General features: G+C 47.7%; 1 protein-coding gene and 1 long non-coding RNA gene across 2 annotated transcripts; both read left to right on the top strand.

Annotated features, from left to right (window-relative positions):
• Positions 1–4,687: 4,687 nt before the first annotated feature.
• LOC124904422 (uncharacterized) lies at positions 4,688–7,004 on the top strand. Its single transcript, XR_007066629.1, has 2 exons — positions 4,688–4,859; positions 6,568–7,004. It is a non-coding gene; the product is annotated as an uncharacterized LOC124904422 (long non-coding RNA).
• Positions 7,005–10,146: 3,142 nt separating this feature from the next.
• S100A7 (S100 calcium binding protein A7) lies at positions 10,147–13,054 on the top strand. The gene is made up of 3 exons (NM_002963.4): positions 10,147–10,190; positions 11,768–11,925; positions 12,828–13,054. Exons 2-3 carry the CDS (start codon positions 11,785–11,787, stop codon positions 12,990–12,992), a joined length of 306 nt encoding a protein of 101 aa, NP_002954.2. The 5' UTR covers positions 10,147–10,190; positions 11,768–11,784; the 3' UTR covers positions 12,993–13,054.
• The last annotated feature ends 1,846 nt before the right edge of the window (positions 13,055–14,900 follow it).

The raw sequence follows: 14,900 nt of genomic DNA, 5'->3' as shown, positions 1-14,900 counted from the left end.
GATGGTCAAGGACTCAGCATCTTCAGAAATAAAGGTTTGGGTTATACCATTAGGAACATCATTAAGATCTGCCAAGGTGATAGTGAAGGGTGAGGGGAATTTAGAGTGCATAGAAGAGGAAGGAGAGGAGTACCAGCTGTATCCCAGAGACCAGCTACAATGATGGGCGGTAATTCACTCCCTAGTCTCTGTCTTCTGAGTTATGCTTTGGGGAAAGAGGCCCATGGTAACCATGGAGGAGCTCTTCTCTAGCCAATGTGGAAAAGCAGATCTGTGATGGACAAGAAGTGGACTACAGAGGTTATAAAAATATGCCTGTTACAGGGCTCTCCTGCTAGAGGTGGCATAGTGGATTGACAATCCCAGCGGCTGCCCCTGCTGCTGGGATCCACCAAAACTTTTGTACTTGGGCCACACTTCCTGTGGGGCTTCTCTCAGGCAATGACTGAGCATGGCAGGAATACCAAGTGGGCCTGTTACTGAAAGACGTGGGGGTCCTCCATGGATGACTGGCTTGGGGACTCCCAACACGCATGGCTAACCCTTTCTTGGAACTATGCTGTAGTCTGAGACTCTTCTTACCCAATTCTCCTTCCTCCCGGGTCCCTTCTCAGGTTTCAGGCTTGCATTGAAGTCTGAAGGCTTTCCCTTCCTTCTCTTGCTATCTTCTTCCTCCCCAGTCATCCTTCACAGGTGTTTCCTCTAATAACATTTTTGCATGCCTAATCTTGTCTTGGCCTCTTCTTGGAGGATCCAAACTAACCCAAAGTGGCATATATATGCATTATTTGGTCAAAAACGGGGATTTGAGGGACAAGAAAAAGTCCTATACCTCGAAGTATCTCACCTCCAGCTTGTTACTGAAATTCCCCTATTAAACTATTTCTTTTGGATTGGGGCCACAGTGAACCACTCACCCTCATTTTCCAGTGTTATTCTATTCAGCATTGGCTTTTCCATGCCTGGTGTCATTGGAGTCAAGTGATTGCTAAGATAAATTGCCCAAAGTCCTGGCCCACCACTTCCAACTCCCACCTGCTTTGCCTCTCATGAGTGGCCTCTCACAGCCATTCCAGTTGTATCCTTTGTGCTGTTCAAGACACTTCAATCTTCATTCAAAGACAAGACTTCTCATTCCCTTCCCTCAGGTAAGACCTGTGATTAGCAAGTGCTTGCCTTTAGGGAAGAGGATGTGCTTTCTAGCTTTTACATCCCATAGCTTGCCATCTGCAGGGGCTCCAGGTATGCTGGGCAGGCTAATGGAGAGGAAGGACCTGGGATAAATCGAAAGAAAATGTTCAGGTTAAGATAAAAGATTGTGGAGACCAATGTTCTTTTGAAGTCTCATAGCGGTTGCCCTTAGAAAGAAGAGTTGGCAAAATGTTTGGTATTCAGACCCTTCAAAAGGTGCTAGACTCTTAGCTAATCTATTCAGAATTGGAGGGGCCTGGAAGAAAAAGGTCTAGCTATGTTAATAGAGATTTTTCACAGATGTGAATTTTCCCCTAAAAGGACAAAGCTTGCAGGGCCATTTCAACTTGTGACAAAGAAACATGTTTTTGGGGTAAAATATTTTGATTTTCCTCCTTGCCTTGTAATGTTATACCAGAGTCAGCATGGAAAGTAAGTCATGATATATAGGGTTAAATCAAACCCATCTGATGAGAATTTATGGTTTGTAGGGGTTGACTCCTCAGATTCTTTAGATAGGAATTTGGGCAAGATAAAAAAAATCATAATTTAGTCTTCAGAAGTTTACCCACAATTGACCCTTAAGCACCCCTGACCCCAAGCCCGCTCCCACCCAGGGTTTTAGAAAACTCAAGGATTGGAAAGACCTCAAGAAGGATAATATTCAATTGCTAGCTAAGAGGGCAGTGGAGTTGGGGTGGAGAGGATAAAGCAATTATCTTAAAAATTAAAGAAATGTAGTATAGTACTCAATACAATGAATCAGGTTATACTGATTAAATATTGAGGCTCCTTTTGGGATTTTTGCCAGTTCTCACTAGCTTATTCATACTTTCTTCTTTACAGACCTTTTAAATCTTTCTTTCTTTCTTTTTTTTTTTTGAGACCGAGTCTCGCTCTATCTCCCTGGCTGGAGTGCAGTGGTGCGATCTCAGCTCACTGTAACCTCTGCCTCCTGGGTTCAAGTGATTCTCCTGCTTCAGCCTCCCGAGTAGCTGGGAATACAGGCACCCACCACCACACCTGGCTAATTTTTGTATTTTTAGAAGAGATGGGGTTTTGCCATGTTGGCCAGGCTGGTCTCCAACTCCTGACCTCAGGTGATCCACCCTCCTCGGCCTGTGTCATGGGCCACGGTCACTTATATTTGGCTCAGAATAAATAACAGGGGATCCAACCTTGGGGAGAGCAGGAGAAGGGCTCGATGGTTAGAGGAAAGAGCTGGAACAGAAGTGCTCAGGTAGGAGCCAGCCTGGGCTGACGGAGGGGCAGAAAGAAGGGCTGGAGTGGTGTAAATGGAGTTCAGAGAGACAGGAAATGAGGTCTGAGCGGCAGGCAGAGGACAAGCCAATGAGGACTTCGCAAAATTTGAACTTTAAGCAGGATGGGAAACGACTGAAAGGTTTTTAGTAAGGGATATACCACGTTCATGGACTGGAACACTCTGCTATTGTAAAGCTGTCAGTTCTCCCAAACACAACCTGTAGATTCAGTGCAATCCCAATCCCAAAGTCCTTGCTGGAATTTTTGTAGAAATTGACAAGTTAACTCTAAAAAACATATGGAAAGGCCAATAATACCCAAGACAATTATGAAAAAGATGGGAGGATCTACAGTACTAGATGTTAAGATTTATCACAATAGCCCTGGTAACAGATACTGCTGGGCTGGTTCAATGACAGTCACATAGATCAACAGAACTAAATAGAGGCCTGAGAAAAAGACACACACGTATGGTATATTTATTCTGTGACAAAAGTGGCACTGCTGAGCACAAGCTTCTCAATACATTTTACTGGATCAACTGGATGCTCATGCTCATGAAACTAGACCACACAAGCAGACAAAATGACAATTCCAAGTGGATTGTAGGTCTAACTGTGGAAAGTAAAGTCATAAAGCCTCAGTAGCATATGCAAAGATATTCAAGACCTCAGTCTTGAAGATTTACTTCTATATTTTCTTCTAAGAGTTTGTTTTAGCTCTTATGTGTAGGGCTGTGACCTATTCTGAGTTAATTTGTGCGTATGAAGGAAGGAAGGGGTCCAGCTTCATTATTTTGCATGTGGCTGTCCACTTGTCCCAGCATCATTTGTTGGAAAGACTATTCTTTCTCCATTGAATTGGCTTGGCGGGCTTGTTGAAAATCTGTTGACTGTGAATGTGAAGGCTGAGAACACTTTATCATGAACTGTTAGCTTCACCTATGTAAAGATATCTTCTCTCTGCTCTGCCTCCTGTCAAAATCTGACAGGACTCTTGCTCAAAACAAGCTTTGTTTCCTGAGTTCTGTGGCCTTGTCTCATGTGGAGCAATCATGTCACATTAACCCCCTCCCCACCCCCACTCCACGTCCACCCTGTGGCACGGCTTTGCCTTTTCCCGGCTGCTTTATCATCTGCTTTTTCAATTAGGACTATTTTTAAAACATTTCCCCAGTTCTTAAATATTTTCTGAGTGCTTGATTCTAGATAGCTACATTGTATGGAATTCCTGAACCATTCTGACTCACAACACTTCTGATGCCAAATGTGTGGGGGTTATATTTCCTTTTTTAAAAATCCCCACACCAACCAATTCTCCAACTGTCTGAACACTGTCGGGGTATCATGCAATTCCGTTCTGATCCTAACTACCCAGAGTTAGCACAGACCCCACAAGGTGAAGGCTCAGCCCCACAACACTGCCCCCACTTCAGATGCCAGTCGCAGCACCTGACCGCCCATACTTCTGACTAACTGGCTAAAATTGGAGGTTCCTACAAATCCCCTCCTCAGGTTAGATAATCTGCTACAAGAGTTCACGGGACTCAGGGAGGCACTTTACTCATGATTACTGGTTTACTACAAAGAATGCAACTCAGGAAAAGCCACGTGGAAGAGACACGCAGGGCCATGTATGAGGGGCAGCACGGAGCTTCAAGGCCCACCCCAGGCGCCCACCCTTCTGGCACCCCACCCACTCAGCAGCCCGACAGCTCTCTGAGCCCCATCGTTTGGGGTTTCTATGGCAGTCACTTCATTTAGGCATGGTTGATTAAATAATTGGCCACTGGTGATTGAAGTCCTTCCCCAGCCGCTCCCTGGAGGCCCAGCCTGGGGCTGAAAGCTCCAGCCCTGTAATCACATGGTTGCTTCCTCTGGCAACCAGCCCCATCCTGAAGCTATTTAGGGGTCCACCAAGAGTCACCTCATTAGCACACACTCAGTATGGCAGGAAGGGGGTTGTTATGAATAACAAAAGATGCTCCCTCTCCCCTGTCATTCGGGAGATTCCAAGGATTTCAGACGCTTGGTGTCAGGAACAGGGACAAAGACCAAATGTCCATTTCGTATCATCACAGGGATTCCATGTGTATAGGCATCAAGATTTACGTAACCCACCATTACTAAAAATTTAATTATTTTAATTTATTCCTGTTTCTACCAACTCGATTAACAATTGCATCCCCAATACATGATTTTGTGCAGCGCCCTCTGGTAGGCATTGCAGAGAGAAGAATGCAAATTAAATAAGAAAAGCCCTCTGCCCTTCAGGAGCTTTTGGTGAAGATCTCTTTTTTAAAAAGCTGCAAGACTGCTGCCCGAAGTGGGACACACAACCTAAATAAGGGCGAGAACCGGCAAGGACGGCCCAGCCACGTGGAACCGCCTCGCAACTCTGGCGAGGTGGGTGCTCGGTGGCGCCACCGTGTGGAAGCTTGGGAAACAGAAAACCTATTCTCCGCGCTCAGGGCCAGAGTTTCATCCTGGGTCTCTGACTGGGGCCAACTGTAACGGAAACAGCCCTGACTGTAAGTCAGAATCCTACAGTCCTCTTTGGCCAGGGAGTCTTCCTGGAGTGACCTCCACTGCTTTCTCCAGCTTTCCAGTTTTAACCTACAGGGCCCAGCCTCCTCTTGAAATTGGGCGAGACGAAGAATGATCATTGCCAACTTGAAATTTGGTTGAACAGATACATTTCTCAGGGTACGCATGGGTCACTTCCCAGCACTGTCTGTGTATGCGGCCTCCGAGAAAGCAACCTCCCTTATCAGGCTAACAGAATTGACAGTAAATCCTCCCAGCAAACCCATTCGACAGGATGGTGGGTGTTAGTCCAAACTGCACCATTTTGTAAGCCCCCTGCCATTTTGCGGACCCTGGTCAGAGTGAAACATTCCATGTGGATTCAGGCCGTGAGAAACATCCTGCCTAACCACCTGACCGCAAGGCACAAGAGCATCCTTATCATACCCTGCTGGGCAAAGGCGCAACTGAAGGAACATCCCCATCATATCCTGCGGGGCAAAGGTCCAAGAAACAGCCTATCACATCCCGCTGGAAAAAGGTCCAAACCGCCTGATCACAGGAACATCTTATCAATATCCTCCCGGCGAGCTAGCCATACTGCCCAGACCCCCACCTAGACCTATAAATTACGCCAGCCTGTAAGCGGCAGGGGGCTCTGGCATTAAGCTTGTCCCCCACCTCCTCAGGTCTTGTGCTGGATGTAAAACCTGTGTTGCCATAGAGCCACCGACTCTCTCTGTGTCTTTCTTTAACCCTTGCCTTCCCTTCAAAACCTAACAGTGGGACCACAGGCTCTGGGCTGCAGCTGGGTGTTCTCATCCTCCAGTGTGGATGGCTCACAGCAGAACTGAGTCCTAATAACCTCTTGTGAATGCTGCAGAACTCTCTCTCTGTCTCTCTGTCCCGCTCCCCCAACTGCTGCACGAGTCCAGAGATGCAGCTGGCCAACACCACCCAGAAGGACCCCAAACAGAACAGCTGGCTGTCTCGGAACATTCCCGTGGCTCCCTCTGCCCTGTCCCTCTCACCGTGGCTCCTGGAAGTGCTCTATGGCCTATTGAAAGGACGCCCCTACAAAGCTTCCCCTGGTTCCCCCACCTGAAAAGTGATTTCTCCTCTTCCAAATTCTCACACACTTTATCTGAACCTTTCTGAAGACACCTGCCTCACTTGCTAGTTTGGCCAATGTTTATGGAGTTCTCTGCACTGGAGGCTGGGGGCACAATATAAGACATGGCTGGGTGGCAGCAAACATAGCATATGTGTGGCCAGGGCTGTCACTGAGACACGCAGGGACATGGGGATGATGTCTCTGCCTGGAGAAGGCTTCACAGAGAAAGTGCCACTGAACTGCCTGGGGACCTGGGGGCTTCCGGGCGCTGTCCGACTCCACTCTCTCACCACCCAGTGGCTCATTGGAGTTCTCTCCTGGGGCCGGAGCATTGCTCAAAGCACGGTCCACTTTCAATCCATCTCCCTGCCACCCTGACACCTGCACACTCAGAACAGAGTCAGCACTCACAGCATAAATGAATGGATAAAATACAGCAAAAAGAACAAATTGCTTTCTGTTCTCTTCCCCCAGCAACTTGAGATCTTCTAGAGACCCAGGAGTATGTTGCTTCTACCTCAGACTGGGGAGAGGGGAGCTCCCCAAAACGATGGAGGAGATGAAGATATCAACCAGCCAAATTCCTGTTCACGACCAGCCTGTTGTGAGCTCTCCTGGGGGATCAGCAGTGGCTGAGAGGTTGGATGTGTGATGGAGTAGGGTGGGTTTATGGAGAGTGTTTGTTCCAGACATGACACAGGGGAAGGGCTCACAGGGTTCAACCTGATGAGCAGGTGCAAAAGATAAGGCCCCTATTAAGGCTAATTTGCTGAGATTTTCATTTTAGCAAAAACAAATGATCAGTTTTTTGGATGTCTCAAATATGTTTGAAATTTATGTGTATTCTCTATGGTTGGGCATGAATTTATGAATGTATGTGTGTATAAATAAATTTAAGTGTGTCCTTCAAATAGTTTATATCAGGAATCAGCAAATTATGGTCTTTAAGCCAAATCCAGCTGGCCACCTGTTTCTGGAGGTTAGTGTTTATTGGACACAGCCATCATCATTCACGGGGACTTGTGTCTGGGGCTGCTTCTGGGCTGTGGCAGCATCTGCCCGCCCTGCTCTGTGCCATTACTGGTGTTTTGTTATCTGATGGCTTTGTGAAGTTCCTGGGCAGACTCTGCCAAAACCTGCCAAGTGATATAAGTTTGTCAGTTTCCATTAATTTCTTTCAGTGTTTGCTTTATATAATTCAAAATTGTGTTCTTATGTGTATAAGGATAGGACTATTATTGCTGGGCCTGGTGGCTCACACCTGTAATCCCAGCACTTTGGGAGGCCAAGGAGGGTGGATTACCTGAGGTCAGGACTTCGAGACCATCCTGGCCAACATGATGAAACCCCATCTTTACTAAAAATACAAAAATTAGCTGGATGTGGTGGCGTGCACCTGTAATCCCAGCTACTCTGGAGGCTGAGGCAGGACAATCGTTTGAACCCAAGAGGAGGAGGTTGCAGTGAGCCAAGATGACACCACTACACTCTAACCTGGGTAACAAGAGCGAAATTCTGTCTCAAAAAAAAGAAAAAGAAAAAAAAAGAATAAGACTACCGCATCTTGGTGACTTGCACACTAATCAATAAGAAATATTCTTCTTTTTCATTTAATCCCTTTTCTTAGAATTCTTTGTTGTCTTGTATTAATATTGTTGTCCCTGATTCCTTTTGTATTACTTTTCCTCTGTTCCTTTTTTCTAAACAGTGATGATACATAACTCAAAATGAATCATAGACCTACATGCAAACACAATGTTACAAAACTCCTAGATGGTAGCATAAGAGGAAATTTGATCATCTTGGTTTTGGTGATGACTTTTAGATGGCAACACCAAGGCACAATCCATGAAAGAAAGAATTCATAAGCTGGACTTCTTTAAAATTTAACATTTCTCTTTGTGAAAGATATTGTCAAGAGAATGAAAAGATAAGCCACAGACTGGGAGAAAATGTTTACAAAAGACATATCAGACTTTGTATGTTATCCAAAACATACAAAGAACTCTTAAAACTCAACGATAAGAACACAAACCAAACAATTAGAAAATGGGCCAAAGACCTTAACAGATATCTCATCAAAGAAGATACAGAAGGTGACAAATAAGCATATCAGAAGATGCTCCACATCATATGTCCTCAAGGAAATGCAAATTAAAACAACAATGAGATACCAGTACACACTTATGAGAATGCCCAAAATCTGGAACACTGGACAACAGCAAATGCTGAAGAAGGATGTGGAGCAACAGGAACTCTCATTCATTGATGGCAGGAACACAAAATAGTACAGCCACTTTGGAAGACAGTTTAGTGCTTTCTTAAAAAACTAAACATACTCTTACCATAGGATCCAGAAATCACACTCCTTGGGATTTACCCAAAAGAAGTGAAAACTTATGTCCACACAAAAACCTGCATACACATATATATGAATATATGGCACAATGGTGAAGTCTGGGCTTTTAATGAAGCCATCCTAAATAGCATGCATTGTACCCACTAAGAAATGTCTCATCCTTCACCCACCGCCTCACCTGCTGCCCTTCACAGTCTCCAGTGTCTATGATTCTACTCTCTACCTCCATCTGTATGCATGATGTAGCTCCCACTTACACATGAGGTTGCACAGTATTTGACTTTCTGAGTAATTTCACTTAAGATAATAGCCTCCAGTTCCATCCATGTTGCCGCAAAAAGCGTGATTTCATTCTTTTTTTATAGCTGAGTAGCATTCCACTGTGTGTGTGTGTATGTATCTTTTGCTGTTAAAAGTAATATTGCCATCACATGGGGAACTGGGAGAGGGAGAAACAGGTCCCCCTGGTTACATAGGTACTGACGAGAAGGAAGTTGAAGAAAGATGATGGGTGGAGAAAATAGGTCCCACCTAGGGAGACATCACATCAGCTCTGTGGAGCCCCAGAGTGCTTAAAGGGCTGGCACTAAATGAACCTGGAACTCTCTTGCACCCTAAAAGGAACATTGCAAGGGGGTAGCAGAAAAAGTCCATTTCAGTGATTCATCATCTCCCTTTCCTCACCATGCCCCAGGGATTCCCATGCCTTCCCAACCCTCTTGCCCCTACCTGGGTCAGCCTTTCCACAGCAGGTTAGGGCACATTATAGCCAAGGGCACAACTCCCAACTCCTACACAGGCTGTTTTGCATAGGAGGAGGAAAAACACTGAAGACTTTCTGGGAAGTTAGTGCCATGGGGCAGGAAAGAACTTTTCCCACTCCCTGCCTCCAGGCTCATTCCATGGGGGGGTCACTCCACCACTCAACCTAGATAGTGAGGCCCCTGACCCCAGTCCCCCCACCTAATTCCAGGGCTTCTGTGAGGGGCTGACCAATGGTTAGCAATGAAGTAACCCTGCTTCCCTCCCTGGACTTTGAGTTCCCATAGGGCAGACCCTGATGTGACCCAAGACCTATAGCACAGGGGATAAGAGTAAGGATTTGATTCAGGCTTTTCTGAGTCCATATAATGATTTGTTGTGTTTACTAGCTGAGTAAACTTGGGAACATCTCAACTTCTCCTTTCCTAAAATAGAGATTGAAGCACCTCTTAGGACTATGAGGGTTGAGGAGGATGCAGGAGCAGCAGGTATCTTGATATCTAGACATTAAAATGCTCAGTCAGCGGTGGGGGTCATAGAACAGGCTGTCATAACAAATGTGTGGAAGGATAAGGGGAGGGAACAAACAAGACCATGCTGCCTTCAGGAGTCTGAAACTCCATCCTCTTTGGGTCCAGAGGCCCAGTGCTCTTTTCTCCCATTTTCTGACCTGCTACTACACATGTACCGCTGCCTTACCCTCAAATCAAGGTTGAGCCAGAGAAGACTCCAGGTGAGGTCTCTGGGGTGGGGTGGGACCTGGTGACCTGGGACACTGGCCAGAAATCCTGAGCACAGCCTCCTGGGTGTGTCCCACCCACCTGATGTGGGGCAAGCCTCCAAGAAACAGATGACAGAGGTGGCCCCAGGCCTCCCAGCCCCTGGGAAGAGCCAGGCTGAGCCTTATAAAGGACTGCTCTTTGTCCAAACACACACATCTCACTCATCCTTCTACTCGTGACGCTTCCCAGCTCTGGTAAGTCTCACCTGCCTCTTTGCGTTTTCTAGAAGTGCCCAGTGCCTGGCCTGCCATGCTGCCTGTAGGAAGGGAAAGGGCTGTGGACAAAGACTCAGAAGCCTGGGTCTAGGCCAGCTCTGCCATTAGCTGGGCTGTGTGACCTTCACTTGACCCCAAAAGCCCACGTCTGTATAACCAGGTGGCTGAACCAGACCTGTCCATTGCTCCTTTGGGATCTCCTGAGGCAACTCCTGTGGAAATGTCCCCAGTGGGACCTGAGCACAGGACCCTCCCTGTCCTCTTCCTCCCTGGATTCATCCTCCTGTTGGGGTCCCGGTTGCTAAATCCCCTCCCCAGCTCCAGCTCCACAGAGGGTGGAGGGCTAGGGGTCCCCTGTGAATGCTTTGGAGGCTCTCCAAACCCCCAGGCCTGGGACCCCGACACAGCATAGCCCTGGCCAGATGGCTTGCCCCTACCTGGGTAAGGTATTGAGAAACCAACGCTCCGTCACTCCCTACCACAACCTGCAAATTGTCAGTCACCCTCTGGGCACAGGGCTTGCCCTCTGGCCTTGGCCTCAGATTCAAAAAAGCTCTGGGTGGCTCCTCTTAGTCAGTTGCCGGCATGGAGCTTTCTCCTGCATTGAGAGGTGTTGGGGGTTTATTGTCAGACACCCATATGCATTAGCCAAGGTCCTTTCCTGGTTCTTTGGAAAGTGTGGGAAGTGAGAACTGCACTGTCCTATTTTTCAGGCTTGGGGTGCAGGCCAGCCCAGACTGACTACTGGCTGAAAGATCTGCTTTGGGAAGTCAGACATTTTTATTTAAACAGTCAAGGCTTGGTGATTCAGAGGGTGCAGATAATTCCCAAGAGCAGACATGAAGTGACTCCCACCTCACTCCCACCCCGTCCAGCAGCTTAAGAACCAGAGAGTTATTTCTGTTCCTTGTAACAGAGGCCATTCCTGTTTCTCGTTCCCAAGGGAATACAAGAAGGGCCCCCTGTGCTCGGGACAGGACTGTGTTTCCTGCTAACACTCACGTCCACGCTCACATGTGCACCTGGAGCCTGCACACACCGTGTCATGCAGGGCTTGCACTTGAGTCAAGGTGGGGCCCACGGTGTCTGGTTCCTGAAGCAGCCGAGGAGGGTCAGACACCAGATCACCAAGGCCATTGTCCTGCCCCCATGACTGTCACCCCGACTGTGAAGCTGGAGGAGATGGATTTGGTGCTCTTTTAAGAGTGGGGTCTGCCATGTGCTGGCTGAGGCTGGGGTGTCCCAGCTTAGTTCTTCCATGTGTTGCTGGCGCCCGACTCTCCCTGCTTCTCCCTCTCTGAAGCACTGTCCACAGCTGGACTTCCGCCATCCACCTGCATCTCCTCTTGGCCCTGGCCAGGATGGGCCAGGTCTCAGACTTGGTCCTACCCTCTCATTTTTGAGCAACTTATCCCATCACATTAAAAAAAAATTGAGTTCGTTCTGCTACACCTTATCCGTGTTTTTACTCTGTCCTCAGCCCTCCTTCCAGCACTCCCAAATAGAGACCCTAACTTAAATGAAGGGAAAAAAATGATTGTCTTTATTTCCTGAAGGCTTTTTGAAAGCAAAGATGAGCAACACTCAAGCTGAGAGGTCCATAATAGGCATGATCGACATGTTTCACAAATACACCAGACGTGATGACAAGATTGAGAAGCCAAGCCTGCTGACGATGATGAAGGAGAACTTCCCCAACTTCCTTAGTGCCTGTGTGAGTCGGTGTCTAGCTTCTCAATGTTGGAGGATACATTTTGCTATGTGGCCTTGGACAGATCACCCTCACCCTCTGATTAAAAAATTTCCCATTTGCAAATAGGGCTTTATTACTTGGATCATATGTGAATCTAAGGATGGTAGGCAAAAAAGTATGAAAATGGGAAAGAGTTATACAGATATAAAGGAGGTTATTAGATGGTCAGCAAAGTGTGCAGCTTGAGGGCAGTGCACAGTCCCCTCCCAGCACTCACTGACCCTCTCTCTGTGAGACTGAAACTCACATGCTCAGGTCCTGTTTCCCAAAGGCCCCACATCAACATCCCTGAGATTACTGGGAAAGCACTAGAAGTTCCATTGTTAGTAGAAATCAATAGCCCTCTTTGCAATAAACAAGACTCATTAGCAAATCTGAAAAAAAACTGTGGGCTACTAGGTACCAAAGGGTCTAGATGACCAAGAGTAGGATACCCAGAAGATGAGTTTGGTGGAAAAGGAGAAGAAAGGAGAGGAGGCCAGAGAAAGAAGAGAACAAAAGCATGAGGGCCAATTTTGAGGCCCTGGGGTAGAACTAAGGTAGGCAGTGCCCTTAGAGGCTGGGACGGGAAAGAGTGAGGCTGGGGCAGGGGACTGCTCTCCCCAAGGTCACTTAACAGAGCACCTTGGGACAGGACCTGCCTCCCATCCTGAGGTGTGAGACAAAAAGACTCCCTAGAGAACTCCAGGGATAACACTCACGTCCTCACCCCAACTTCACCCACTCACCCTGTGCTCTCAGCCCCGCCACCATGCCTGTGCAGATCTAGGTACTTGTCTGTATCTCTGCCTCCTCCTCTCCCTCCCAGCCCAAAACTTGTTTGTGATTGAATTTTTCTATTTTGTATGTTTTTCTCTTCACAGGACAAAAAGGGCACAAATTACCTCGCCGATGTCTTTGAGAAAAAGGACAAGAATGAGGATAAGAAGATTGATTTTTCTGAGTTTCTGTCCTTGCTGGGAGACATAGCCACAGACTACCACAAGCAGAGCCATGGAGCAGCGCCCTGTTCCGGGGGCAGCCAGTGACCCAGCCCCACCAATGGGCCTCCAGAGACCCCAGGAACAATAAAATGTCTTCTCCCACCAGACACTTGCCTTATTTTCTTCTTCTCTTTGGTGACCTACGTTGTCAAAACTACCAATTCCAGGTTAACTTTGTTGGAGAATTTCCCCCACCCCCATCCAGTGGGTCACCCAGGAGTAATGTCCCTCCAGCAACGTTCCCCCTATGGCCTCCAGCAGAGCTGAGCTGCCTCTCACACAGGTCCTGGTGTCTGCTTCTGCCCCGCTCCCTAAATGCAGCCACCATGGCAGGTTCCAGGTGGAAGTCAGTGGAAAGCTCCTGCCAGATCACAGCAATGTTCCTCCTTGTCAAGGCATGGACCAGGGTCATTCAGACACATTCAGATACCGCACTGAGAAGGGGCTGGCATCTCTCAGTGTGCTCCTGCCCTCCCGCTCCTGCCCCAGCTGTTCTCCAGGGCTTGGGGAAACAGAAACCACTCACATAGGGATTCCTGGATGGCATCAGGCTCAGGGCCCTTGTGGCTATGAATGGGATGCTCAGTAGTTCCCTGAGGATGAGCTCCCTTGTCCTGTGGCCTGGGCTCCAGGGGCTGTGTCCTCTCTCTGTGCTGTGCACTTGTGTGCATGTGCCTAAGTGGGTGACCCTGTGGAAGTGAGAGGGAGTCATCTTGAAGCTGAGCTGTCCTCGATGGTTTGCTAAATGCCAGGACTGGGTTTCTGGTGATAAATGAATATTCCAGATTTTGAGGAGCTCAAAGTAGTCCAGGAGTCCAAATAAGGAGTCTAGCCGGAATAAGGCAGCACCACGGAAATGTCCTAAGGACTGACACAGAGAGCTCATGCTGACTGTGATGAGAAATTGCAGCACCTCTATCTCGCAGGTAATGGAGTAGTTTGTTATTGGTAGTCTACTCCAGGCCAGGCAGTGTGCTATGGGCTGAGGATGCAGAAACAAGCAGGGCACAGTGCTGTCCTAGCAGAGCACTGGTGGGTCTCTCCATGCAGGCCACAACACAGGGTCAGTGTTCACCTGGTGTCACTTCCAGGCCATGTTCTGTGCAACTGCTCTTAGTATTCTCCCTAGAGGCTCACATCATCTGTCCCTATCATTCTTACCACCCTGGTCAATCTCCAGCTAACGTCTCAATCAGGCAAACATTCTTCTTAGAGGAATCAGGCAACCATCTCAAAAATTCTCATTCCATTCCCCCAGCAGAAGTGTGTAGGATGAGTTATTTGTTCTTGTGAATGACTGTTCCACTCCACACTCACACCTCTATTCACAGACCAGCATCTCCTCTCCTCATCAGGAATCTTCCTTCCTGAACATATTCTGCACCTTGTCAGCCTTCAGGACTGATCTGCAGTTTTCACCTCCAAATCCCAATGTCTGACCATTAGTTTTCTTCTCTCCCTTTCTCATTCTCATTCCACCTGTTCTTGGAACTCACAGAGGACTGCAGTCCCTGGGCTTTCATTTTTTCTTACCAGACCCCTGCTGCCTTCTCTATGTAGCCTGTCCCCATCATCCACCCCAGAATTGCTCTCTTTCCTCTCTTAGCTCTGTTGCCCACTTTCCTTGGGCCACACCTTCCCTGAAGATCTCCAAACCAGGACCATCTTCCCCCGTTGTCCTCCTCTCTCCTTCACCAGGACTGCAGGTCACTGCTCAGAACCATCATGCCAGGGTCCCAAGGGTGGGTACCTGACTTCCTCTCTCCCCAGCACTCTCTGAATCCCTCCTGTTCACCCAGCTGCTGTTATTCCAAGAATGCGCAACACCTCCCCCCATCAATATATCTCAGTATTTCGTGCCTCAATACCAGTCTTTCAAATGCTGCCTCTGCTGGATGTCATTTAATAAGTCATCTGTCTCATTAACTTACATTTCAAGACAGAGCTTTAATG

This window comes from Homo sapiens, chromosome 1 (genome assembly GCF_000001405.40).
Source record: "Homo sapiens chromosome 1, GRCh38.p14 Primary Assembly".
Lineage (NCBI taxonomy): Eukaryota > Metazoa > Chordata > Mammalia > Primates > Hominidae > Homo > Homo sapiens.
This window is presented reverse-complemented; position numbering and strand designations above follow the sequence as displayed.